This window comes from Homo sapiens, chromosome 1 (genome assembly GCF_000001405.40).
Source record: "Homo sapiens chromosome 1, GRCh38.p14 Primary Assembly".
NCBI classification, from domain to species: Eukaryota; Metazoa; Chordata; class Mammalia; order Primates; family Hominidae; genus Homo; species Homo sapiens.
Genome location: NC_000001.11, coordinates 91,527,265 through 91,555,092, shown reverse-complemented (window position 1 = coordinate 91,555,092; position 27,828 = coordinate 91,527,265). Strand labels below are relative to the sequence as shown.

The window sequence follows — 27,828 nt, the reverse complement described above, 5'->3', positions numbered from 1 at the left end:
GGGCTGGACGGCCTGATACAATCTGATGCCACCCCTCTGGATGACTGGATCTTTGCAGAAAGGTCACATAAGGGACTGAAAGTTAGTACTAAGAACTAACTTTCTGCAGTTCTGGGAACTTAAGCAAGGGGCCATCTTGGCCAAGCTGAACACAAGGTTGATCATTTTCCTGAAGAGACCTTGCTGTGGTTTGAATGCGTTCCCTACAAAATTCATGTGTTGAAGCTTAATCTCCATGTGATGGTACTGAGTGGTGGGGCCTTTTGGGAAGTGATTAAGTCAGGAGAGCTCCGCCCTCATGAATGGATTAGTGCCTTGTAAAAGAGTGTGAGGAACTAGTTTCGGTCCATGTTGCTCTTCCACTCTTCTCCCATGGGAAAACACACTGTTCCTCCCCTTCAGAGAATAAAGCAAGAAGGTGCCATCTTGGAACCAGACACTGAACCTGCCAGTGCCTTGATCTTGGACTCCCAGCCTCCAGAATTGTGAGAAAGAAATTTCTGTTGATAATAAACTACCCAGGCTCAGGCATTTTGTTACTGTAGCACAAACAGACTCAGATAGACCTTGAATAGCCTGTGCAAAGCCTTGAACTAACATCATCTGAAGGCTCAAGTGGGCACTTTCCACAGCCATGTGGCAATGATCAGCAACATTTCCCCCCCTGGAGTGTGAAAGTCAGGCTGACCCTTCTTTTTGAATTATGTAAACCTCTGGGATTTTGGAAAAGTTATGGGGAGACAGAGGGCCCCAAGACGGAGAGGCTAGACTTTCTGCTAATCCCACAGTCTGATAAACCATGGGAACTTAGGCTACTTGTTTTGTGTAAAGAAGCTAAATGTGACAGTATTTACCCCCTGGGTTTGTGGAGCAGTCCTGTTGATTACACTCAGGATACATGTATACATAAGCAATTGAAAATGAGGTTTCACCACCAGCCCAAAGTTGAAAGCTGGTGAAGGGGCTGATCCCCAGCCTCTGTCTTGATGGTTCTGGGATTCACTGAGTCAAAAACACACAGCAGAAGCCACTTGATAATGTATTTTATACTTATAACAAGAAGCAGAAATGATCACTCTCGGGGGAAACAATGCTAAAACAAAACAAAATAAGAGCTTGAGCTTTGAGACAAGGTTTGCCACAGTCATTCTGCATGTAAATAAATATTTCCCTACAACTTACTCTCTGCCATGCACTATGCTAACTACTAGGGAATAAAATGAAAAACAAAGCAGACATAGTCCTTGCTCTCTAGTATTAAGGTAAAGAAATACGTTAATCAAATAATCACTCAAATAAATAAATAACTGCAGTTAACATTGAAAACTAATTATCTATTTTCAGCCCAATTAATTTCCAGCTAAGAAACAAGACAGATCAGCCTCTATGTATAAAGCTCAAGATACAAAAGAGTTAAGCCCTACATGTGGCCCTGTTAAGGCTGTCCCAGGGGGAAAAGAGGGACCCATTCATTAGTCCCGGGGCAATGGGTTGGTTCTTCCTCTACTGTCATTTCAGAGAATGTGCATTCCCTCTGGCATCCTGGCTGGCCCGGAAGGTCACTGCAGGCTCAGGATGCCACAAATACAGGATTGTTCACTTTCTTTGGCTGGGGAACTGGGCTGGGGACCAAGCTGGCCCACAAATGCAGGTTTTCCCACTTTATTTCAAGGGCAGCCAACTTCAGGGCCTTAAAAACGGGCTAATGGCAACAATGAGAGTGATGGTGAGGGGAGCCAAAGTCAATGCCATCGACAGGCCATGTTGCCTTCAGAAAATTTCCCAATCTTTGAAATAACTACAGAGTGATTGCCAGAGTGACTCAGAGGGGAGGAGAGTTGGAGTGACTTTGGCTACTAAGGTTGTGTGTTGAAATAATAAAAGGAATTTCCTAGGGATCCCCAATCTAGTCTATTTTTTAACAGTGTAGTTTCAATTTCTTCCTATAATTCTTAGGCATACCTTGAATGAATAGAGAATTTTCTGTTAATTAACCAATTCAATACTGATTAATTCTAGTTCACTCTTTTAATAGACGTAAGATCTTAGGTTACAATTAATCCATCTTTCATTTCATCTAACCAACAAACATATTTAGTGCCTATTATATATCAGACTGTGCTACAGTCGAAGAGGGGCACCTAACCCAGACTGAAGAGGAGAATAACAGAGAAGGGTGGCTTCCTATAGCAGAGATAAAGCTTTGGGGGTCGCCAAATTTCATGCCATCTATCACTTCCCAAGCACATGGGAAACTACACTTCCCAGACACCCTTAGGAGTCCTTAGGTTGGGGCCACATGACTGGATATCCAATAGGATAGAGCAGAAATGATGTATGCTACTCTCAGGCCTGGCCATAAAATTCACTGTGCAACTGTCCATGTTCCCACTTTCTTTCCCTTCTGTTGTAACCTCTGAATCCAGATGGCAGCAATATAAGATGAAAACAATAAGGATCTCTAAGTCACTGCTTAGAGGAGAGCCACAGAAGGACTATGGGGCTTATTTGCTATAACCTAGCCTTGCTTACTCTAATATGTACTCTGTAAAGGTGGGGACATCTAAGTTTAGTACTGAAGAAGAAAATATCTAGGCTATGTCAGGTAAGATGACCAACTTTGATGATCTTATTCCAGCTAGATGGGGAAAATAAAACTATATCAAAAAATAGCCAGCTTACCAAGCAAAATATCTTGATCAAATACTGAAGTCTTGAATGAACCTCAGTTTTCTGCTTGGGAACAACTGAGTATTGTGGTTGTAGTCACCAAAGTAAAGACTGTAGAAGTTTCCTGGAAAAGTCTGATTCATAGCTGAGAAAGTTCTAACAAGAATGTAGGAAGAAGTAGTAGGTTCATTGAAGGAATCACTTTCTAATCATAAAAATGGATCATCCAGCTCTTGACCCTCTGAAGTTCACAATTTAATGAGGTAGAATTGAGGAGATCAGAGGCAGAATGTCATGTTTATTCAAGTCCTAGAACCTTGGATCCAGAATTTTTCCTCTTCCAGGAAGCCTCTTCTACTCAAATGTTAAACATGTCTCTGCTTAAATGTTGCTTCCTTAGGGAACCTTTCTGACAGCTTGATATAAAGAAGTCATCCAGTTACTGTCTGTTGAATCTCCCTATTCTAATTCTCTGTGTAGTGCTTCCCACTCTCTGATACTTTTCTTGTTTATGAATTTTGTTTGTTTGATTATTGGCCATCTCCCTTCACTAGAATAGGGGAAGGAATACTTTGTTCATGTCTCTCTCTAGCATGTTTCCAAGTGGCTAGCACATAGTAGGAGCTCCATAAATGTTTATTGAATAAATAAATAATCCCAGGAGGCTAAAAAAGAATAAAAAAGCAAACGTTTTGTTTTGAGATAGATTTGTAAATATACTGAATGGCCAAGTTGGGATGTGTCTCAAATGAGAACTACAAGATGGCATATTTGTCATTCTGCATCAAAGAAAAACCAATGTCAATTGGCATCAATATCTTGACTCTTTTTTAAATTAAATTTTCTCAAGTGGTCACACGGGAGCAGGTCTATTTCTGGAGAATACCTTTTTTAGACTCAACAAAATCCCAGGGATGAACACAGTTTTGATATAATAGAATTTGTATACACTAAACCCCTTTATTGCAATATGTCTCCAATCGTTTGATGCCCTAGATGCAATTATTGCTTTAGAAGCTAAAGTAAGCAAATTCTCTTTTCAAAAGGAATATGAATTCTTGGGCTTGTGCCTCCACTTCCTGATCTAACTTCTCTGGACCCTGAGGCATGGGCATTGTAGAACTGAGTTATCAGATTTTAAGAGCATGTAGGGGGTCTGTTTTGTGACTTAATGTTATCTTCAGAAAATCAACTAAAATCTGTTTAAATATCATGTCTGAAATAAGTGTAAAGACTAAACGGATGTGGTTACAATCTTGAAACTAGAAGCTATAGCCAGAAAATAGGTCAAGAAAAAAATAGACACAAATTGCCTGGATCTTGGCCATAAAGGTCAAGTACTGCTGGTCACAAAACAAGGAGGATTCTTCAGAGAAACTGAGGGACTCACATAATAGTTCTAGTAACAATTACAACAACTAACATTTATTTAGTGCTTACTATGCGCCAGGCACTCTGCCAAGTGCTTATCATATATCATCTCATTTAATTCCTTGGAACATGTGCCGCTGGGGGCCATATTAGTAATTTCTATCTACCTGTCAGGAAACTGAGGTTAATTACTGCATTAGTCCATTCTAATATTGCTATAAAGAAATATCTGAGACTGGGTAATTTATAAAGAAAAAATGTTTAATTGGCTCATGGTTCTGCAGGCTGTACAGGAAGCATGATGCTGGCATCTGCTCGGCTTCTGGGGAGGCCTCAGGTAACTTACAATCATGGCTGAAGGAAAAGGGGAAGCAGACCTGTCTTACATGGTGGGAGCAGGAGCAAGAGAGAGAGAAGGGGGGAGATGCTGTACGCTTGTAAACAACCAGAACTTGTGAGAACTCACTCACTATCATGAGAACAGCACCAGGAGATTGTGCTAAATCATTCATGAAGGACCACCCCCATGATCCAATCACCTCCCACCAGGCCCCACTTCCAACACTGGGGATTACATCGCGACATGAGATTTGGTGGGGACAGATCCAAACCATATCAATTATCTTGCCTGAGTACAGACAGGTTTTCCTGACTCTAAAATTCAAGCTATTAACCGCAGTCTCTCCAACTTTAACATTCAAATTTCCCATTGTGAATGTCTGAAAAATGCTTACAGTTCTTTTTTTATTATTATTATACTTTAAGTTTTAGGGTACATGTGCACAACGTGCAGGTTTGTCACATATATATACATGTGTCATGTTGGTGTGCTGCACCCATTAACTCGTCATTTAACATTAGGTGTATCTCCTAATGCTATCCCTCCCCTGTACCCCCAATGCTTACAGTTCTAGAGTGACCAAAAAAAAAAAGTGAAATAAGAAAACATATAGATATATTTTATTTGAATCATTTTATAATAAAGAAGATGAAAATGTTCAATTCAGGAGACAGTATGTGGTATAGTGGAAAAAGTAAAGTGTGCCAAAGTCTCTGTGCCCTGTATCCTGCCATAACCATTCGTATGATTCCAATTCCCTCACTCACCTTCTGTCTCAGTTTGCTGATCTATAAAATGGAATGAATCCCTACCATATATTTTGCAGTCCCGAGAAATGTTTCTGAAAGGCCTAACAAATGAAGGATTCTAATTTAGGTGGTCTAAACAGTTTTAATACATTTTAGGACTTTATTTCACCGTGGCCCACCCAGTCACAGAAAAGAGAAATGCCACAGTATAATCCTCATCTGTGCCACAAGAAACTTAAGTCAGTCTCTGTGGCCTATATTATATTTTTTCTCTGGCCTATATTATACTTTTCCTCTGGCCTATATTATACTTTTTCTCTTAAGAGGAATAGAAAAGGGAAAATCTTATGTTTATGCTGAGGAGGCAGTGTGAAGTAGCTTGAAGGAAGGGTGTGTTCTCACCTCAGGTTCTCACCTCACAGCCATTGTGGGAGGCAGCTGGTATAGTGTGGCAGTCTGTAAAACATCAGGAGAGCTGAGGTTGTGCCACATCCATCTACTTAAATTCCTTCAACGTTTTTATTACTGCTGTGTAAATTATAAAGCTTCAGGATGTGTGTGTGTGTTTTCTAGGTAGAAAGCTTGGATCAACTTTACATGTATTATACTCAGACAAGATGAAGAAGGGATTCTTGGTCTGGCTGGCTGCCCCTAAGAGGCAGGGATAAATTAGGGAGGGCCTCAGATGTAGGGTGGGGGCTGGGGGATCTGTGAGGAAGGAAGATGTGGTGCCCAGAGGTACTGAGAAACCTCAGGGCTGGGTTTGAGGTGGCTCTGTATTTGAAGGGTGGAGCCCAAGAGACGGCTCAAAACAACATCCTTCCTTCCTTCCACAAATGTTGATTGTGTGATACATACCAGGCACTGTCCTGAGCATTGGAGATACAGTGATGAAGAACAGTCTTTTACAGAGTGGTTTAAGACATTTTTGAGGCAATCAGACTTAGGCTTAAATCCTCCTGCCTGTGCCACCAATTAGCTATGACCCTGGGAAAATTATTTAAGTCTTTGAGCCATGGCTTCTTCAACTATGAAGTGGGGACAACCTGACAGTTATGACTGAGAAAAGTGAGATTATGCAAGTGAAGCATTTAGTGTCGTCTCTGGTGCAGTGAGGACTGAGTGAATGATGGATGTCCACACAATGCTGTAAACCCCATAAGGCAGGGATTGTGTCTTGGGTTCACCTTGAATCTTCAGCACTTACTGGTGTGCACAGCAGATGCTAAAAGAATTATCTGTTGAAGGTTTGACAGTTAATGGAAGAGTCAGATTAGAGGCTAGGGAGCAGGCTAAGGGTCTGGAACAGGATGCAAAGTCAAAAGCAGAAACAGGATGTAGCAACGGAATATTCATAGTAAGTAAGTTACTGGGCAGGGGGCCAGGGGAAGCCTCTTCAAGGGGTGGAGGGTGTGTAAAGGAGCATGCAATAAAGGCACAGGGTTGTGATAGGTACAGGGATCTCCCCCTCACACCAGACCCATGGGCTCATTAACACTCCCCCCTGCTCACCTAAACACACCCTGCCCCACTTCCAGCAACCACTAATGATTACGATAATAACAAAGGCAACTAGCAGGCAGGACAGACAGTTCAATTATTAGAAAGTTGTCTACGGTGAAAACTGGGGACAGAAAGATAGGCTCTTGAGACCATATTTCTAAATCAGGGGCCAGTTTGGGAGGGAGAGGACCCCAGATCTGTGGCTGCTCAGATTTCCTCTCACCCTGTCCCTAGCCCACCATCTACCATCTATCTCCCTGATAGGATGGGTGACCATAGGTCCAGGTTGCCCAAGTTTAAGCTTGTTCCCAGAGCAGTCATTACTAAAGCAGGGATTCTTACACTTTTGTGTATACACCAATCACCTAGAGATCTTGTTAAAATGCAGACTTCTATGCAGTAGGTCTGGCTGGGTCCTGAGATTCTGCATTTCTTAAAAACTCCTAGGTGAGGCTGATGCTGTTTGCCTGAGGACTAGAGTAGCAAAGATCTACCTACCACTGGTTCTCAAATGTAACTATATCAGCATCATCTGGATTGACTCTGGGGTCCCAGACACACACACACACACACACACACACACACACGCACACACACACACGGTGTGCTTCAAGGGGGCTCAGAAAGACCTGCTCTGAAGTAGCCCCCTTCAAGAACTTCCATCTGCCTTTCCCACCAAATCTTTTTTTTTTTTTTAATTAAGGGAGCACAAACAAAAAATCACCGTGTTACCCTTAATGAATACATCTCAGTCTACACACAAGAGAAGGCATCATGGGACCTGGCAGCTCTCAGAGGGCATTGGGAGTGTAGCAGCTCTTCCTGCTCCAAAGAGCCACTCTAGAGTTTTCTAGAGTTTTTCCTTCAGACGTCCTGGTGTTTAGTTGTGTGGCATACATGAGGCTTTGTGGCAGTTGGTTAATATACTGTGGGACAAGAACTGAACTAGGCACTGTGTGGGACAGGGAAAGATGCACTCTGTGGCTTTAGGGAATTTGAAATTAAAAGATAAGATTTCAGATTCTTTCAAAGCCCGAGCTAAACACATGAAAAAAACAAAAACAAAAACAACAACAACAAAAAACACAGAACACCAGAGTGCTGAAAACAGAAGAATTGCAGTGGATGGGGTTGGAAAAGAAAGGCTTCCAGTTAGAAGTCAATTTCACACCGTGTTTTGCAGGAGCGAGTCCAGCGGATTCGTGGAAATGGATGGAGGCTGCTGAGTTGAGAGACTGAGAAGTGGAGGTACCTAGGAAGGTCCTCCCTGAAAATACATCGGGTTGTAAAACCTGGAAAGAAATACCTCCATTTGTCAGGCACTCACAGGGCGCTCTCCTCTGGCAGCTCCCATGTTGAGCGCCCAGGGCAGCGACCAGACGGCGTCCTGTCCTCCTGCACGGGGCCAGAACTGGATGGTCCCGCGACACATCGTGTCTGCAGCTTTAGAGGCCTCCCCAGGAGTGCTACCGCGGTCATTTCTGCCCAGCTGTAAAATAACACCCAATCAGCGAGCCGCCAGCTGCAAACTGTTCCGACCTACTCCTCCCTCCCCGGCTTAATTCCCACCTATACCAAAGTGGCCCCACGCGGGCAGAAGCGAAAGACGGAAATGAGGGGAGGCCAACTACTCGAGATCTGCGCCCGAAGCAGATTTTCCACGCGCTCAGAGTAGGGTCGGGGAAAGGCCCACTTGGGGCTTCTGAGAGAGAGGGAAGGGCAGGGAAAGGGCTGCCCCCCAGCAAGACACAGTTGGGTGAACAACTGAGTCTTTGCCTCGTTGACAAAGGAGAATGAGGGACTCGCGCCAGGCTGGCTTGAACTGACTGGAGAAAAGCGACTTCTGTAATTCAGGGCCCTCCTCGTGCGAAGGAAACTTTGGCAAAGCAGAAAGACAGGCATGCAGTTTCCAGGCGGAAAAACGTGAACCATGGGACATGATGGGCTCCAGGGCCGTGGATGCAGTTGCCCGAGGCCCCAGGGCCGCCCCCGGAAGGCCGGGACTGCCAGGGACTCGGCGTGGGGGTGCTGACTGCCGCTCCAGGCCTCGGGGTTCAAGCACTCCAGCAGCATCCGCTCACCACGCTCCCCGCCCACTTCCATGATCACGAGGGGGCAAGGCTAGCCAATCCGGGGTGGCCACTGCCCGGCCCTGCGAGGACTCGAGGCGCACTGGGAAACTGCGCGGTGCCTAGAGGTACAAAGAACAGGTCCTGGGAGGGTAGTAGGAGGGGACCTTAGCACAGCCTATGTCAGTTTGTCAACAAGGATTTGCTGAGAAGTCGCACTGTGCTCAGCATAGCGGCACTGCCTACCTAATGGGCTTTGGGGCATAGACAGTGAATAACCTGGCAGTGATAATAGTGTGCTGAAAGAAAGGCCAGCCCCAACAGCCACTACAGGAACCTCAGAAAGGAGGGGGCGTCCCTGTTAGTGGCTGATACTGGATTTCTCTCATTGTGTTCGTGGCTGGCGCCAAACCAGAGATCATAATGTATAACAAATAAATGTGAAGTTTCTTACATCCAAGTGGCCAGGGAAAACCTATACTAATTACATGGTACAAACCCGCTGTGATCAGGTGCTAAATTGGGTGGCAGTCAGAGTACAGCTGTAGAGATATCTCTGAGGGCCAGAGTGATCAGGAAAAGCTTTGTGGAAGAGGAAGAACTGGAGTTAGGTGCTGAATGACGGGCAGGATATGGACAAGCAGAGGAAAGTGGGAAGGCGTTCCAGGAGGGAAGGGGCAGCATAGCCAAAGCCCGGGGGATGAGCATGGTGGGTTTATGGGGTTTTAGAGGGATTAGCCTGTTTGGAGTGTAGCAGGTGCTCTGAAGAGCATGGGACAGAAGAGAGCACAGGCAGCTGGAGGGTAGAGATGGGGGCTAATTGCAGAATCCCACAGTGCCTAGGAAGGTCTCAGCTGTCAGGGTCTTCTCCTGAGACTCATTCTCAGCTCCTTTTGGGGTTTAGGAAAGATCTTTCATGAGAGTTCCAAACATTTTAGTTAATGTTTAATTCCTTCTCACTGAATCCCCATGGAAGGGGGCAAAAAGCAAGTGCTACTCCTCCAAGGTACTAAAACCCTGGTGCTGAGGATGAGGCTGCTCCAGAGGGACCTCTGAGAGAGAGAGAGAGATGGTATCTTATGAGTTGCATAAGTCTTTTAGGCAAGAAAGCAGGAGGAGATACTGAAGGGACCCCCTAAGGAAGCAGAAAAGCTTTACCTTCTCCTCTGCAAGAGGCATCAGGATTCCCTTTGAAAACAGAGCAGAGGACGGCGCAGAAAAATTCAAGAATGTTTGCTCTCACCACTTCTATTTAGCTTTATACAGGAGATCCTAGCCAGTGCAAAAGGGCAAGAAAAGACATTAAAGACACGCAGACTGAAGCAGGAAGAAGTAAAACTGTCCTTATTACAGGTGGCATGATTTTGTATGTAGAAAAGCCTAAGAAATCTACAAAAATCTACTAGAACGAATAAGCAAACTTAGTAAGGTTGCAGGATACACTATAACAAACTGTCCAAAAATGAAGTTAAGAAAACAATTCCACTCATAATAGCATAAAAAGAATAAAATACTTAGGAATAATTTTAACAAAACAAATGTAAGACCTATGTACTGAAAACCTTAAAACATTGCTGAGAAAATTCTAAAAAGATCTAAACAAATGGAAAGACACACAATGTTCATGGATCGGAAGATTCAATATTGTTAAGATAGTAATTGTCCCCAAATTAAACTATAGTTTCAGCTCAACCCATATCAAAATAGGTTGTTTTTTGTAGGACTTGACAAGCTGATACTAAAATTTATATGAAAATGCAAAGGATCTAGAGAAATCAAAACAACTTTGAAAAAGAACAAAGTTGGAGGATTTAAAAAATAAAGCTACAGTGATCAAAACAGTGTGGTATTGACTTAAAGATAGGCATACATCCATAGAACAGAGTATATTCCAGAAATAAACTCTTACATTTATGGTCTATTGATTTTTGACAAGGGTGTCAAGGTAATTCAATAGTCATCCATAAATGATGCTGGAGCAATGGATATTCCTGTGCAAAAAAAAAAAAACTTACATTCTTACCTCACAACAACCATATGCAAAAATTAACTAAAAATGAATCACAGCCTAAATGTAAGAGTTAAACTATAAAATTCCTAGAAGAAATCATAGGAGAAACATGGATTAGGGCAAAGGCTTCTTAGATGTGATACCAAAAACGTGATCCTTAAAAAAATTAATAAACTCAACTTTATCAAAATTTAAAACTTTTGTTTTTCAGAAGATACCATTGAGAAAATGGAAAGGCAAGCCACAGACTTGAATAAAATATTTGCAAATCATATACCTGATAAGGTATTTATATTCAGAAATATAAAGAATTCAATAAGACAAACTGATTTTTTTAATGAGCAAGATTTGAATATATATTGCACCAAAGCAGACATATGAATGGTGAATAAGCATATAAAAAGATGTTCAACATCATTACTCATTAGAGAAATTCAAATTAAAACTATAATGAACTATTAATACCCACTGACAATATCAAGTGTCAGCAAGGATGTGGCAAAATTGAAACCATAGAATGGTACAGCTAATTTAGATAATTGTTTGGAAGTTTCTCAAAATGTTAAATATATTTGCTATATGACCCAGCAATTAAACTCCTAAATATCTACCCAAGAGAAATGAAGACACAGATTCACATAAAGACTTATATGCAAATGTTCATAGCCATGTTATACGTACTAGCCCAAGCTGGAAATAATCCAAATGTCCTTTAGCTGGTGTATAAACAAAATGTGGTATATTCATACAATGGACTACTACTTGGCAATAAAAAGGAATGAACTACAGATACATGCAACAATATGGATGAATTTCAAAAACATGCTAAGTAGAAAAAGTCAGATAAAAAATGTTTTGTATAATTTCACTTATGTGAAATTTCTAGAAAAGGCAAAATATAGAAGTATTCTAAAGTTGAATTATTATTATAATTGTGATTATTGTACAAGAGTATAAATTTACTTAAAATCAAACAGTACCCTTATAATAGGTAAATTTTATGGTATATAAATTATACTTCAATAAAGCTGTTAAAGGACAGAGAGACTGCTAGATAGGTCCTTGGGGAGAGGGTGGGGTGTGTGTGTGTGTTTGTGTGTATGTGTGTGTGTGCGGTTATAGGAGGGCAGAAAACACCTATGGGAGATAGTAATGAATTTAAGTGCAATGAAAAAACACAGGGGCTCTGGAGCCAGCATGCTAGGTTTGAATCTTGGTTCTACTACTTACTATATGAACTTGAGACAAATTACTTACCCTCTTCAAGCCTCAGTTTTTCCCTCTGAAATGAGGCTAATGGTAAATCTCAAGGTAGTTGTACCACTAAAAATGATATATATATTGGCTGGGTGCAGTGGCTCATGCCTGTAATCCCAGCACTTTGGGAGACCTAGGTAGGAGGATTGCTTGAGGCCAGGAATTGAAGACCAGCCTGGGCCACATAGCAAGACCCTGACTCTAGAAAAAATAAGAAATTAGCCAGGCATGGTGGCATCTATAGTTCTAGCTATTTAGGATGCTGAGGTGGGAGGATCAGTTGACAGGAGTTTGAGGCTGCAGTGAACTATGATTGCGCCACTGCACTCCAGCCTGGGTGACAGAGCAAGACCTTGTCTCTAAGAAAAAAAGAAAAAAAAAGAATTAAAAATATAAAAATAATGTATATTGAAGGTAATGTATGGGATGTGAGGGAAAATTCTGAAACCAATTACTTCTACAGAAAATTCAGAGCTTTGTTGTAACTGAAGAATTGTGGGTTCTCTGGGTATATTATAGCAGAATTATAAGCCTCTCACTGAACTGAATAAGCGGCCTTATTAGTGAAGAAGGCTGGGACCGTGGCCAAAAGCCTTGGTTTCCAGTACTGGTTCTGCTACCATTACACCATGTGACTATAAAAGGGTTCCATATCTAGGGGTTCCTAGATACGTCCCCCTCCCAAAAGGGGTTGTTGGGGTGCTTCCGAAGTCAGAGCTTATTACCACCATAAAAAATGCTGGGTATAAGGTAATGATGGCACAGAGGACAGGGTGGTGGCTGGGGCCCAGCGTGAGAGATCAACATCTCTGTGCCTGTGAACTGGGATATGAGAAGAGTAGCTTAGCAGGGGGCCATGGAAATTTTCACAAACCAAAATTGGCATTTGGAGCTGAGCTGGAAAGTTGTGAACACAGGATGTTGCTGAAAATGGTGCCCAACAGCGCTGCTACCTGAGGTTTTGGCAGGCTTCACCCCCTGCTAGTTGATTGCAGAAGGATGTTGGGTCATCAGGAAATAGGGGTTTGAAATGATCCCACAGGAAGGTGTGAACAAAAACAGAAGCAACAACAAGAAAACAGCCTAGTCAGGTTAGCTGGGGGGCGGGTGGGTGTTGGATGGGAGACAAGTGAGTTCTCACTTTCTTCAACACTTTAGAAACTTCTAAGGAGGAGCCCTGCTGGCATTCAAGGATGGCACTGTGATAGGTCCCCATTTATCCCTCCATCCTCCATGAACACCTCCTGGGGGTGGACCGGGAGAGCAGCAGCTTGCCAGGGGGACTCATTTCTGGTTCAGGATGTTGGAAGTCTCCATGTAGCAGTTTGTAGTGGACACTGCTATTTTTTTGGATACCTAGCACACACTCCCACTTTTTTCTGGTGAGATCACTTGGATTATTTGGGGGGAATTTCTTCTTCCCCATTACATACAGTCTTGGTGGGGCTGTCAATAAGGCATTCTGCCCTCGTTTAGCCAATTAAATTCTCTCTCTCTGAATTGAGCTGAGTGGTGAGAAAGAATGGAAAAAAACCTGTTGGAGAAGACCTAATTCCATGGACCTCACTCAACCTTTACTCACTCCTGCTCCTGAAATCTCAGCTCAGCTCTGCCCCAGTTTCTTAACTGTTCTTCCATTCTGTGAACCCCTGATATCATCCATTAAACTGTTTTGCTTAAGTTAGCTGTGGCCCATTTCTGTTACAAAGAACAAACAACATGACTGTGACACTGCATGGGAGAGTTTTCATGAGGGACTTGCAGGGGAATCGAAGGAGCCTGGCTTCAGGTACCCACTTTCAGTCTTCTGATTTTTCAACTTTCTAGCCATGTGACCACAGGCAAGTCACTATATCCCTCTGAGCCTCAACTTCTGTAAAGTTGAGATATTGTTACTTTGCAGCACTGTCAGGATTAAATGTGTTTATTCAATTATTCATGTAATACTTACCCAGCCGCCACCATTTGCCTGGAACTCTGGGAGGAACCAGAATAGAGATGTAAATAAGACAGACATTGTATAGTCTCTGTCTCCATGGAGCATACATTCTAACAGGAAGAGAGATGTTGAATATGTTTACAACACTGATGATGTTAAAATTGAAGTTCAAGGCACTGTGGGAGTGGTTAACAAGAGGACCCAGGAAATCTAGTAGAGGGCCATGTATGGAAGACCCTTAAAAACTGTGACTTCCTTTCCACCTTCCTTCTCCTGACTGTTTTCTTCTTCATCATACCACTTTACATTTTGCATGCATGTTTTCTTTGCCATTTATGGCCCACTCATATCCACTTCTTGTAGTAGAATTAGGATACTCCAAAGAAGTCCTGAATTGGTTCAGTGATTGACATCTGCCTGTTGTGTTTGAAGCATAAATTGGAACCTACTCACCCCAATAGATAAGCCAACTTGGTGGGGGTTCCTTGTGTTGGGCATAAGGAAAGAACAAGGTTAAGAGGATGGGGAAAGAATAGAGAAACTTTAATACCTTTAGAATTAATTGTTTCTTAGGTTAACAAGGTTTAGTAAGAGTCAAGATGAAAGAGGTTGCCTGCCTAAACTTGATATTGACAAAACAAGGGTAGGCAATTTACTTGATCTGCTAGGTAGCTCTAGGTACCTTTCTAGCATTACAAAATCTCAGAAATTATTTACAAATTTTAGCACTAGAAAAGATCTTAGAGAACATTCAGAAAGGGTTTTATTTAGTATGAGGAAACCATGGCTCACTAGAGCTAAGTCTCATCCATGTCCTCAGTGTGTAAGCTTATGACATCTTTAGACCCCAGGCTGGCAGTCAGAATGCCCACAGTGGTTCCTCTCTCATGTGGACAAATTCTGGTAGATATGCCCCTGAGAAATAGCCTGTGCTAGCCTTGTGAAGGAACTTGGCAAGGACCAGAGGAATGAGGCACTGCACTAGGTATGAGGGAGGGACAAAGACAATAAGATGAAAGTCCTTTGAGGTTCTTCTGACAGTCTGGGGAGTCGAGACACATACAATGCCAGATAATCACACAAGCAACATTACACGAGAACCACTGTTGGACATGGTCGCATCAACATCTCTGAAGCACAGCTCATAATTTCTGCCCACTTACCTCTTAAGTCTCCTGTTAGAGATGTCTTCTTCTCAGACACCTGTATCTATTAATAGCAGCACTATCCTACAGTTACAAAGGCTTGAAATATTGAAGTTGGTTTTTATTCCTATCTTTCCCTCAACCCCACATCCAGTATTTACTCGGATCTGTTGATCTGGTCCTTAAAGCTACCCCATCCTGTCCAAAGACACCAAAGTAGTATTCCTAATATACAGCTCTTATATTATTCCTCTGCTCAGAATCCTTCAGGGTGTACAGAACATTATTTGCAGAATGAAAACCAAACTCCTTAGTTTAACATTTGTGGTCCCTTATGGTCTAGACTCAGCTTCCATTTCCTCCTTCTAGTCTGCTACTTTCCTACAGGGATATATTAACCATGTTATTTATTTTTTGTATTTTAATGCTTTGACATCTGGGGCCTTGCAGACCCCGGAGTTGCTGCCCCTTCCAGGGCTAGCCAATTCCTAGAGACTGTAAACAACTTGCCCTTGAGCATACCTTTCAAAGGCAAACCACCCAATCCAGAGCCCACACCTGCAAATACCTTCTCTATTGGGCTGTCATACTTAGGACCATAATCCCCTGCCCTAATCACTCCAGGGCCAGTTACCAGACAACTAAGAGTAGTCCCTGTGCCCCTGAACTAGCTGAAATTATTCAAACTAGTCAATCCTTAATCTGCTTAATCTGCCTTGCCCATTCTTTCCCATGGAAACCACCATAAAGGCTCTTGCTCATGTTTTCTCCTTTCCTTCCACCTCCTGACAGACTCTGGTGCTTCCCCGAGTGGCCCCCTGTGGTGTGGCATGTCCGCTTCTCTTGGCATCTGTGAGTATAACTATCTTTTTGATAACAGTCATCTAGTCTGCTGGCCTTGCTGTACCTAAATAATAATAATAAAACCATTAACTACATTTTAAAACAAGAAACCCTATGCTCCAGAGGGGTTCCTTCTGCTTCCCAAACAGGTCCCTGCTTTCCTATGCCCATGTCTTTTCCTGTGCCTTTCCTCGTTCCCAGAATAAACTTTCTCTGCCACATCTGCATCTTACAATTCTATCCATCTTTCAATATATTCTTGCTGGCATTGTCTTGAATCTCTGGTGACAATATAGACTTAAAGATGAGAGTGTGAGGTTCAGATTGGTTTGTGACTTATACTATATCACACAGCAAGTTGAAGGCGGCATCAGGCTCGAAGCCCAGCAGGCTTTCTTTGTGCCCCTTCCAATCATTCTATTGGCTTAGGTCAACTGAGTGTGTGCAACAGAAATGGATCTTAGTTAACTTGAGAACAAAAGGGATTTTCCAGAAAGATGCTGGGGCAGCTCAAAGGATTTAAGGAGGAGCAGAAAGACCAGATCTCAGGTGAAGTGGGAACAAGGGCAGCCCTAGTGATAAGCCTTTGAATCTTCCCTCAGGATCCAAGTCTTTACTAGAACTCAGCTCAAACCCACTCCCTTAAGGTTTTAAATATCTGAAAGTGACAATTTGAGGGACCCATCCTGTTAGGTATATCCCCTGGATCAATCAGCTATGGTAGGATGTGTTTGGGAGACAAGGTAGGGTCTCAGAACACTGATGTGATCAGTGGGGACCACTACTTTGTATTAAGAGTTTCCCAAAGAAAATGCAACCATTGAGACCTGCCAATATGAATCCCTTGCAGTCATCTTTCTAATATATTAAATCCTAAGTCCTTCTAAATAAAATGGAGCAGTGGAAGGGTTAGATAAAAACAGCTCCAAAGCAAAGCAACTTTAATATTTCAATAAATAGTCACTGAATGCTAACTCTGTGCATTCAAAGGACTTACGCTAGACATTGGGTGGGTAAAGGGATAAGAAAATCGGTAAGACCTGGCAGCTGCTCAAAGATAAGACAGGCATACAAATCATGACACTGAGAGGCAGGATAAGGGAAATGATGCTCCACAACAGATACAAAGTGCTATAAGGTTTTACAGCATGGAGAGATTCTCTAAAATTTATATCCAGAGGAAAACCAAAAAGCTAAAGTCCAGATTTTCCTTCTTATTGCAACTTCATCATATGCTGGAAAAACTATACATGACTTCACATGCAAAGGAACACAGTGTTCTTATTTCCACCTACTGCAGTCCAGCTGCCAATTCAAATGTCTGCCACCTCTTAATTGTGCAATTAGGGAAGCATTAGTTTCAGTGGACTCAAGTGCCACTGCTAAGCTCCTGCTTGGATAGATTGCATAAACATGGTATCTGGGAAGGAAAAAAGGAATTGCTAGAGGAGTCTTGCCTATGCTTCTATGAAGATTTCAGATGCTGGTTCCATCAGGTAAAAACTTCTGAAAATCTGTGAGCATGGCAAAGAGAAAGTACTCTAGAATTCTTGCTGATAGGGTTAAGGATGGAGTTCTTGGGTGATAACATTGCTATGCAAGGAGAGTTTGCTGCAACATTTTATAACTCAAGAGCTGCTGGCCCAAGGCTATGCTGTTGCAAAATATTTGGATCCATCTCACATTGTGGTGATGAGAGTGAGAAGAAGAATTTAAATATCTTAGTCTCACTGGGCTTATTAAAACAACTTTGGTTTATTGAGAGCACCAAGGTGCACCTCATGCCCTCTCAAGGTCAGGGAAGATGAGCTCAGGATATGATGTAGGGGAAGGGGAATGCACTGGCTTCTTCATTGACTACCCAGTGGTTACCAGAGGCACAGGAGGAGGCAGAGGCAAAAAGGCTGTAGAGAAAGGGAAGGCTGGAGAAGCAAGTGGGCAAGGAAATTAAGGAGGGAGGATGGTGTATGTTTGAGAGCAGAGCGAAAGGGAAAGGAAAGACCCTGGAGTTGTTTAACACTGTTTTCACTGTTGAAGTTGGGGAGAATGAGTAAAACAGAACCGGTCTCATCTTTAGCATTACAGAGTGAGGACAAAATCAGTTGAGTGAAGGAGAAAATGAGCCAGTTAGTTAATACTTCTGTAGGCCCACTAGGCATCAGGCACTGCTGCATTTCCTTCTTGAGAACTCAGGAACAGAGAAGCCTCCAGCATTTGTACTTGGAAAACTTACAAAGACATATCAGACATCTGCTTGTCCTTAATATATACTATAGGCTTGCCTAGAATTTAGAATTCTAGATTTTAGTTTTCTTTTAGCCCAGTATTCAGTCTCCACTGTTTGGTCAGAGGGCTTAGACCCCTTTTGTTTAGAGGTTGAACATTCGCATACACAGATGGGATGCCCTCAGCCTTAAGGCTATAATCAATATTGGCAGAGTTGGGATGGGCAGCAGTGCACTTAGCTAGGGCCTCATAGTCACTAAAGGCAGGGCCTCAAATATAGACTCCTAACATTTATCTCAAAATGAGGTTGTATTAGGTTGAACTACATGACATTATTGATTTTCTAGGTTAAAAAAAGATCAAATATCAACAGTTTCATGTGGCTCAACTTAATACCTAAATTCATTGTAAATTACGTATGTGTTAAAGGTATTAATTTGTTAAATGAAAATATTTAAAAACTATCATTTTCAAAAATCTGCTTTTTTTTTTTTTTTTTTTTTTTTTTTTGAGACGGAGTTTTGCTCATGTTACTCAGGCTGGAATGCAGTGGCGTCATCTCGGCTCACTGCAACCTCTGCCTTCCGATTTCAAGCCATTCTCCTGCCTCACTTTCCCAAGTAGCTGGGATTACAGGCGCCTGCCACCACGCCCGGCTAATTTTTGTATTTTTAGTATAGATGGGGTTTCACCATATTGGCCAGGTTTTCTCGAACTCCTGACCTCGTGATCTGCCCACCCTCGGCCTCCCAGAGTGCTGGGATTACAGGCGTGAGCCACCGTGTCCGGCCTGTCATTTAAAAAAAAAAATAACAGAGCTGGGTATGGTGGCATGTACCTGTAATCCCAGGTATTTGGGAGGCTGAGGCAGGGGGATGAAAATATTTAAAAACTATCATTTTCAAAAACCTCCTTTGTCATTTAAAAAAAAAATAACAGAGCTGAGCATAGTGGCATGTACCTGTAATCTCAGGTACTAGGAAGGCTGAGGCAGAGGGATCACCTGAGCCCAGGAGTTTGAGTCCAGCCTGGGCAACATAGCAAGACCCTGTCTCTAAAAAAAAATACTTTTTTAAAAAAAACGTTGGGACCCGCTCGGCTTCTGCCTGTCGCAGACACAATGAGCCTGCACCGCGCTGGTTGCCCATGGGGTGGCTGTGAGGACGAACGGTCGGCGAGGCTCCACAGTCCAGGCGGAAGACCGTCGTCCAAGCAGGAGGAAGAGGAGGAGGTGGCCCAATTGTTGGCCGACTTCCCCCTAGCTGCCGGCGCGGCGCCCGCCTCGCCCAGGTTGGCCATTAGGCAGCCTGTCCGCTCGCCACCGCCTGGCCGTGTGCCGCCGCTGCCTTCCCCAGCCGCAGCCATGAAGCTGACCCACCGCATGCTGCTTCGAAGCTTCTGTATCGCCAACGTGTTCTGCGAAAACTCGGGACAAGATTAACTGCTTCGATTTCAGCCCTAAAAGCGAGGTGATCACCTTGAGCAGCAACGACGACTCCATCGTGCTCTCTGACTGCCAGGAGGGCAAACCAAAACCCTGTTCAGTAAGAAATACGGTGTGGCCTCATCAGATAAACTCCTGCGGCAAACACAGTTGTTTACAGCTGTAACAAAATAGACGATACTATTCGTTACTTGTCCTTGCATGACAACAAATACATCAGATACTTTCCTGGACATAGCAAAAGGGTGGTGGTCTTGTCCATGTCACCTGTGGATGACACTTTCATTTTTGGGTCTCTTGAATAAGACCATTCGACTCTGGGATCTCCGGTCTCCCAACTGCCAGGGCCTCATGCACATAAAGGGGAATCCAGTTTGTTCTTTTGATCCAGAAGGGTGAATTTTTGCTGCTGGTGTCAACTCTGAAATGGTCAAACTTTATGACCTTCGTTCTTTTGATAAGGGGCCATTTGCTACCTTTAAGATGCAGTATGATCGAACTTGTGAGTGGACAGCACTTAAAATCAGCAACGGTGGCAAGCTCATCCTCATTTCCACCAATGTCAGCTTCATTCGTCTCATTGGTGCATTCAAAGGAGTGGTGATACACACATTTGGCAGTTATGCCAACAGCGAAGCTGTCACACTGGAGGCTTCATTTACTGCAGACTCTCAGTTTGTTATGATTGGTTCAGAGGATGGCAAGATCCATGTCTGGAATGAAGAGAGTGGTATAAAAGTAGCTGGGTTGGATGGTAAACACACAGGCCCAATTACCTGTTTGCAATTCAACCCCAAGTTTGTGACTTTTGCCAGCGGGTGTACCAACATGGCCTTCTGGTTGCCCACCATTGATGACTGACCCTGATGCTACTTGGCTATTTCTGTACAGTGAGGGCCGCCAGCAGGAAGAAACTCAGAGGGGACTGAGATAATAGTGGGACTGGATCATTTGACTGTGCTGGAGAACATCCTTTTACATGGCCTTCCCATGGATGTGCTGTACATCTGCTCAAAAGAATTACTTTGCTGAGCATCTTCAAAAGGACTCTTGGTGCAACAGACTCAATTGGAACTCAACTTTTCTAGCTGTCACTGCACCAAGCTCTGCTAGAGGAGTGACCAGACTCCTAATTTGGGTATAGTGGGGCTCAAGCATCTTCAATTTGAATGTACATGCTGCTGAGGAGCCGGTGAAGTCTTCAGTTCCGCACATCCCTTCTCCTACCCCCCTAAATGTATGGGAAGCCACAGTCCTGGCTTTGAAATGCTGGAGCAGCTCAGTGCCCCTTGCCCTCACCCTGCATGTCTTGTTACTGGGTCTCCCTGTGTACTTGTGGCATTATCCACAACCGTCATGTTTCTTAGGTGCCAAACATTTACAGAAATGTTTTCTTATATTTTGGGTTAGAGAAAGGGACAAATACAGAAGGACCTTGCTTGTAGGAAGCTGTGCAGTTAGTCACTGCAGTTAGTTGTGTGAGGCTAGGTGGTCAGGCAGGCCTCAGGCTGTAAATGTTGGGTGGGAAAAGGGCCTGAAAGGGAAGGAAGGGGGAGGGTAGCAGGTGAGTTCCTAGGGTGGGAAGATTTAGCAGCAGCCTGGTGCAGTGCCCTGTCATCAAGACAAACTCACGGTCCTCCTAGATGCCTACCAAGCTTGGTTTGTACAAAAGCAAGGTGGGAGTCTATTTTTGTATATGAGATACATCACACTTTGCTGTGGGCTAGTGTTGTGAAGTGAGTCTGAGTTGTTTACACTGATGCCTTCCCTGCCCACCACAAATTGTATACATAGTCTTTAGATGATAGCACCCCTTTCCCCAGCTCCCGACCAAGAGCTGGTTCTAGGCCTGTGTTATGTTATATTTAGCCTTTTTGCATATGATCTTTGATTTCTGTTGTTTGTATTTTAGCACAGTGTATGCACCTTCATTTAAATACATCTGTGTGCATACAGATATGCATACATGTGTGTGCATATGCATGTATTGCTCTCATCTGTAGTTTCTGAGAGTTCAGCTGAAGCAGATGGAGTCCCACAGCCCAGGAGACAGACTGCATCCTTGCTAATAGTGTTTGCCACAAGTGTTAGTGAGTCTTCCCTATTAATGTTTTCATTTCGGAAGACCGAATGAAGCAAAGCTTATAGTGCTTGCTGTTTCCATGGCAGCTAAGTGAGGGTCTTGGATGACTCCCTGTGTTCCTCAAGCCGCACTTTGGGGTCCTCTCTGCAGTATTATCCCCCTTTTTGCTTGGTGGTACTCTGTGCCTGTGTGTGTGTGTGTGTGTGATAGTCACTCTTGCATGGCTTTTGTGTCTGGCTTGTGGCATTTGGGGATAGGGTGCTGGAGCCAGAGCATTTTCAGTTTGTTTGAGGCCTCGTTGCCAACGATAGATCACTCCCATTTACCTGGTATGTCTGCTTGCTTGCTGCTTTTCCTCGCTTTCTCTTGGAAGAGGAAGGGACTCTGGTCAGGCCCAGGCTGAGTGAGATGAGCTGTAGCTGGCTGATGTCCCTCTTAGAGCAGAGAGAGTGGTATGTCATTTTACTAAGTTCCTAAACAAATATTTATGCAGGCAACACTCCTTGCAGATCCAGAAACTGAGGCACAGCAAGGTTATGACTTGCTAGCACTTGTTTTTTTTAAAGCAATTACTTTTTGACTTGTTCCTTAAACTGAAAGTGCAAGAGGTGTACACCTTTCCCAAATGTAGACTAGAATCTGCAGGATGCCACCCACTGTATAGCTCTGCTTTCCCAGAGAGGATGGACTTTTAGAAACCAAATGATCTTAATTGTTAGTACCCACCCTTGGCTTTTCAGGGTAGAAAGTTCATGATAGAAATAATTGTTAAGAGAGAGTGCTTGGAACCGTGGGTTAACAGGAAAGGCTATATAACTTCACGTATCTGCAACCAGAGCAGCCACCAAGCATGACTTACCCAGCAGCAGGAAAATGATTTGTATTTGAGTTCCTGTGTGTCCCAAACTGAGGCACCATGTTCTTTGAAAACATGCCACCTCATGGCCTCTATTTTTGGGTCCTGCAGTTGCAAACCTGCCTCCTGAGTTAAGAAGGAAAGGGAAAAGATATAGCTGGCAGTGAGTGGAGATGATGTGGTAGGGGGATAAGGCAGAATAAGAAAAGAGATTCTGAGGGCTGGGGCTGCAAAGATTCTCTCAGCAGAGCCAGAGGTGCTCATGCTCTCTTGGGGGTGGTTGGGGAGTGGGGCAGCGGCATTTGCCATCCTCTTAGGAGTCACGGCCAAAACCACTGATGTGTATTTGATAGTGACACTGCACTCCTCAGCCAGAGGGGTACTTAAAAAATTATTTCCAGTTGCAATTATACTTACTGCTTATTAAGGAAAATTTGGAAATTTTAGAAATAATCAGTTTGCCACCCAAATGCTACCACTGTTAATCTTTTGGTGTTAAATGTTCCCCTACACATTTCTGTGCATAGATTTTTGGTGTGTTTACATAGTCGTTATTCTACTGTCTATACAATTTTATGTCCCTTTTGTGCTTAACATACAAACATTTTTTCCATGTTACAGTCTTAAACAGAAAAAAAATTTTGGGATCCAAAAAATGGAAGTGACCCTAGGCCCTTCTTGACTCTGAGAGACTCTGGCTGGAGCCATGTTCTACTTTTTTCCTGGGCCCTTCACAGAGGAGGCCTCATATATGAACATCATTTGCTACCTAAGACCCAGAGCAAAAATTAGCCGGGTGTGGTGGTGCATGCCGTAATCTCAGCCACTTGGGAGGCTGAGGCAGGAGAATCGCTTGAACCTGGGAGGCGGAGGTTGCAGTGAGCCAAGATTGTGCCATCGCACTCCAGCCTGGGTGATAAGAGTGAAACTCTGTCTCAAACAAACAAACAAACAAACAAGCAAGCAAACAAGAAGACCCAGAGCATATCTTGTGAAGTATTCTTGTGTTTAAATCTGAGTATTTTTCTAACTGTTATATTTCAGCCCATTTCTTACAGCTGACTATCTAAATTCATATAGGTTATTCTGTTGCATATTTTTATATCACTATATCTGGTCACCAGGTGGCTGCTCAAAAACATCTATTTTATCTCTTCAAACCTTCTGTGGCCTCCCAAATTCTTGCTCTGCAAGCCATGTTCAACTTCCTACAAAGTTTGACATTAATTCTAAATTCATTCATTGAAAATTCAGGTCAACATAAAACCCACTTAGTGGGCCAGATGCAGTGGCTCATGCCTGTAATCCCAGCACTTTGGAAGGCCGAGGCAGGTGGATCACCTGAGGTCAGAAGTTCGAGACCAGCCTGGCCAACATGGCGAAACCCTGTCTCTACTAAAAATACAAAAATTAGCTGGGCATGGTGTTGGGCACCTGTAATCCCAGCTACTTAGGAGGTTGAGGCAGGAAAATCGCTTGAACCTGGGAGGCAGAGGTTGCAGTGAGCAGAGATGGTGCGCCATTGCACTCCAGCCAGGGTGAAAGAGTGAGACTCGTCTCGAAACGAAAACAAAAACAAAAAGCTACTTAGTGTAACTGCTATCAAAAGCCCACCTGGTTGATTCTGAATATGGATGCTGTCATTGCAAAGGAAGCCTGCTATAGGTCACTGCTACCATTTCTCCTCTTCTGCTTCACTGGCCTCCTCAAAAAACAAACAAAAAAATTTTGCTTCACTGTAGTTATACTGTGTGCATATGTGTATACTATATGTGTGCTCATTTTTCAACAAATAATGATTGAGGCCTGATTCTGTGCCAGGCACTGGAGATGCAATGGTGCATGAAATAGACCTGATTGTTGTTGTCCTGGCACTCACAATCTAGTGGTGTTATAGAATAGAGGACTGATAATGTAGTGCTATAAGTGCCACAATAGGAATGATTGGAAGCTACAAAGTTTGGGGGAGCAAAGGCGTTTTTTACCATAGGGTTGAATGTCTACTTGTCCCAAGCACTATTCTACATGTCAGAAAAAGAGACACTAAGTAAGAGTAAACTGGGATGCCTGTGTGAGGAGGCAACATTTGAGCAGGGTACTACTATATGATGAGCAGGGTACTATACAATGAGCAGGATGGGGTGGAGGAAGGATATGGTATCCTGAACTCAGAAGGAGAGGTAAAATAAGCCTTCCTAATGGCAGTGATGCTGAACTGAGACCTGAAGGATGAAGAGGAGTTAGCTAGGTGAAGGAAGCTGGGGTTTGGTGGAGAAGTGCTCCAGGCAGAGGAAACAGGAAATGCAAAAGCCCAGAAGAGAAGGAATAGAAAATACAAGAAATTCGTGACTAGAAAAGATGAGGGGGGTAATAGGTTATTACTAGTTCTCCCTTTGTCTGGTAAAATTGTTTTACTTATATAAGAGCCAGTTTATTTTGTATACCTTGTTTTCTCTTTTAGTAGCCTTACTGATACACAAGTCCAAACGTGTTTGGGCAGCTTCCTCACCGAACATGGCCAAAGGAACTCCTGCCATCTAATGGACAGAGAGATCATAATTTGCAGAAAATTAGCATTACTACAATGTTAGGCTCACAGTATGTCAAATAACAGCAATTTTCCACTCAATGGTTTAAAAGCCCTTATGTACTAAAACAGGTTAAGGAAGAAATATGTAAGAATATTCTCAGACAATGCTCCCCTGTATGGGGAGATGAAAGGAAACCAGGGAAAGAAAGGAAGGAGGGAAGGTTAACAATTAGGTACTTGTGTCAGCATTGTACTTAGTGAGCATACTCTCATTCCTCCAATCAAGGAGGTAGGCAACATAAACCCCATTTCCAGATGAGGAAACTGCAACTCACAATACAGGGAAAAGCTGGCTTTGGCTGTCTCCTTTATGTTATGCTGCCTCCCATCAGGATTTATTTCTAAATCAACAAATGGTAAGGAGGCATTAAAATGTTGCCCAGTTGTGACATCCATACATTTACATTTAAGACCTCAATGAAAGTGCTTAAGATCCCATTTTGTTCTCAAAAGACATTGGGAAGAATCTCTATTTCACTAAATAATATACAAATCAGCTGGTGCCCAAAGCAGAGAGCCTCCGGTACCACATATATTAGAATGGACATATTTTGAAAGCTAAAAAACTGGAATGCCTTTCTAACAATTTCGTACTACTTCTAGTTGAGAGAGACATTCTTAAAAATGCAATTTGGATGCAGAAACATTGGCATTCTCAGAACACCGAGTTTTTGGAATTGAAGCTGTCTCAGAAAAATCCAGATGAATAGGGTTCCACATGTATGAAGATGAATCACATTAGCAAAGCATAATCAAATGTGTATATTATGCTTTCCCATAGTATTTTATACATACAAGACCTTAAAACATTGATTTTTTAAATTGTTATGGTGCCTGGTACACAGTAGGAGCTAAAAACATGACTATAATAGAGAATTGTAAAATTTTTGCTTACCTACCTCTTATACAAGGTTGTAAAAAGTTGTTAGAGATTAAATGTCCACCAGCTGTTCTGTCTTCACTGAGGTCAAAGCGATGGGAATGGAGCACCAGCAACTTGGAGTGGAGAGAAATTAGAACCAAGATGGATGGGATGGGGGTTGCGGGGCTGAGAAGCCTTAGGACAGATGACCAAGGGAAAAACAGTATAATCCTTTAGATGTTTTAAGAAGACAGGAGCTGTCCTTAGAATGGGATTATCCTGGTGGAGCTTGGAAAACCCCATGGTGTCAGATTCCTGGTCAACTCCCAAGTTTTGACTGAGGACCCGAGTTTCTAAATGCAGCAATGGAAAATGTGGGGGGATATATAATACAGTCTCTACTTTCAAGAAGCTTATAAACTGTGTATAGGGAATCAAGGACATGATCATTTGGACTGATCAATGAAGGCTTTGTAGAGGGAAGTGGGATATACAGATTAGAGGGAAAGGCATTCCAGGTAATGGCAACTACAAAATCCAAAGGCCCCTTTGGGGCCACTCTGAATCTAAAGCATGGCATTAGAATCTTGGCTTCATTTAAATTACATTTTATGGGGAAGTTGGGTGGTCTACTGTTAAGAGATTATGTAAGAGGAATGAGGCATTTCATTTTTCTTACCATTTGGTGTCACTCTCAATCAAATAAATTGTACTAAACTTAGGAAAATAAGCACCCTTGTTAAAAGAGGTTTTGGCTTTTGTCAAGAAAGCAAATTAATTTTTTTAAAGATAAAAGTGATAGTGAGATTCCTTTTTATGAGGAGTACACATGTGGTATGACCATTTACCTATGGAGTTTCAAAATAAAAAATTAAAATGACAGAAAGGACACTCACAGAACACCAGGCATTCATTTCACAAACTGCGGGGAAAAGTGTATTTTAAAGATACATTGCTAATACTTGCCTAAAGATTACTCTTACACATACAGAGTGTGACTGTTTTTTGATTTTGTAAATCAGAGCTTTGAGTATAGAGACAATGGCAACACGCCAGAAGAAATAAATTTCTACCGGGTAGAAAAGCATGAAGATGAGTGTCTAGAGAGATTTGGAGGTGGCTGGGTTCCCCTGGCCCTGCTCCTTTTTCTTAAGGACAGAGCTAAAATAACAATGTGAGGCTACAGATCATCTGTTTCTTATTTACTTTCTTGGTCTTGTCCTAGCTAAAGTCATTTCTAGATCATGTGCTACAGTCTTCAGAGAAGTTATGGAAGGAATTTACACAAAGGGCAAATACATAATTGAATACATGTATAAAAACACATCAATAGAATGTGGATAAAGAACATAGGCAAAAATTCTGATTAGAAGGAAATCAATGGATCTTTCATTTTCTGATTTGTACTACTCACTCCACAGCTGACAGTGTTCAGTTTCTTCAGGATGTCTGTCAGAAGCCCATTCCTTGATCCATCTTCTTGGTTGCCTGCTGGAGTAACACTGGCATTCTCTAAATCTAGAACTAGAGAGATGTATCTATAAAGTATTTATTCCCTATTTTCCTTCATATGTTGTTTTCTAGTGCTAAGCCTGTTATTTTCCTTAAAGAATTGCTTCAGTAGGGTCCAAGATGGAATCAGCTAATGGCTAACACATGATGTGTTAAATTCGGAAGAGTAATTTTGCACATGGTTTATGCTTAAATAGAAATTCTAAACCATTTACATCTGTTTTCTGGTCATCGTTCTTGCTTTATAAAAAAACTATGCGTATGCTCTCCAAATAAGTTTTTATTTTGCCCATTTTGAACTCTTCCATATATTAATTTTTTAAAGCACTCAAAACAGAGATCGAGAACAATTGTGTCC

At 42.6% G+C, this 27,828-nt stretch overlaps 1 long non-coding RNA gene and 1 pseudogene across 2 annotated transcripts in view; both read left to right on the top strand.

Moving 5' to 3' along the window:
* Nucleotides 1–27,828, top strand: part of LOC102723436 (uncharacterized) — a 50,981-nt gene that overhangs the window by 14,421 nt on the left and 8,732 nt on the right. Inside the window, exon 4 of one of the 2 annotated variants that reach the window (XR_007066219.1) lies at nt 15,847–15,906. This is a non-coding gene — a long non-coding RNA (uncharacterized LOC102723436). Of the gene's footprint in view, nt 1–7,816; nt 10,460–15,846; nt 15,907–27,828 lie in introns of those variants that run through there. The other variant, XR_007066220.1, reaches the window with a different exon arrangement.
* WDR82P2 (WD repeat domain 82 pseudogene 2) lies at nt 19,218–23,139 on the top strand (annotated as a pseudogene).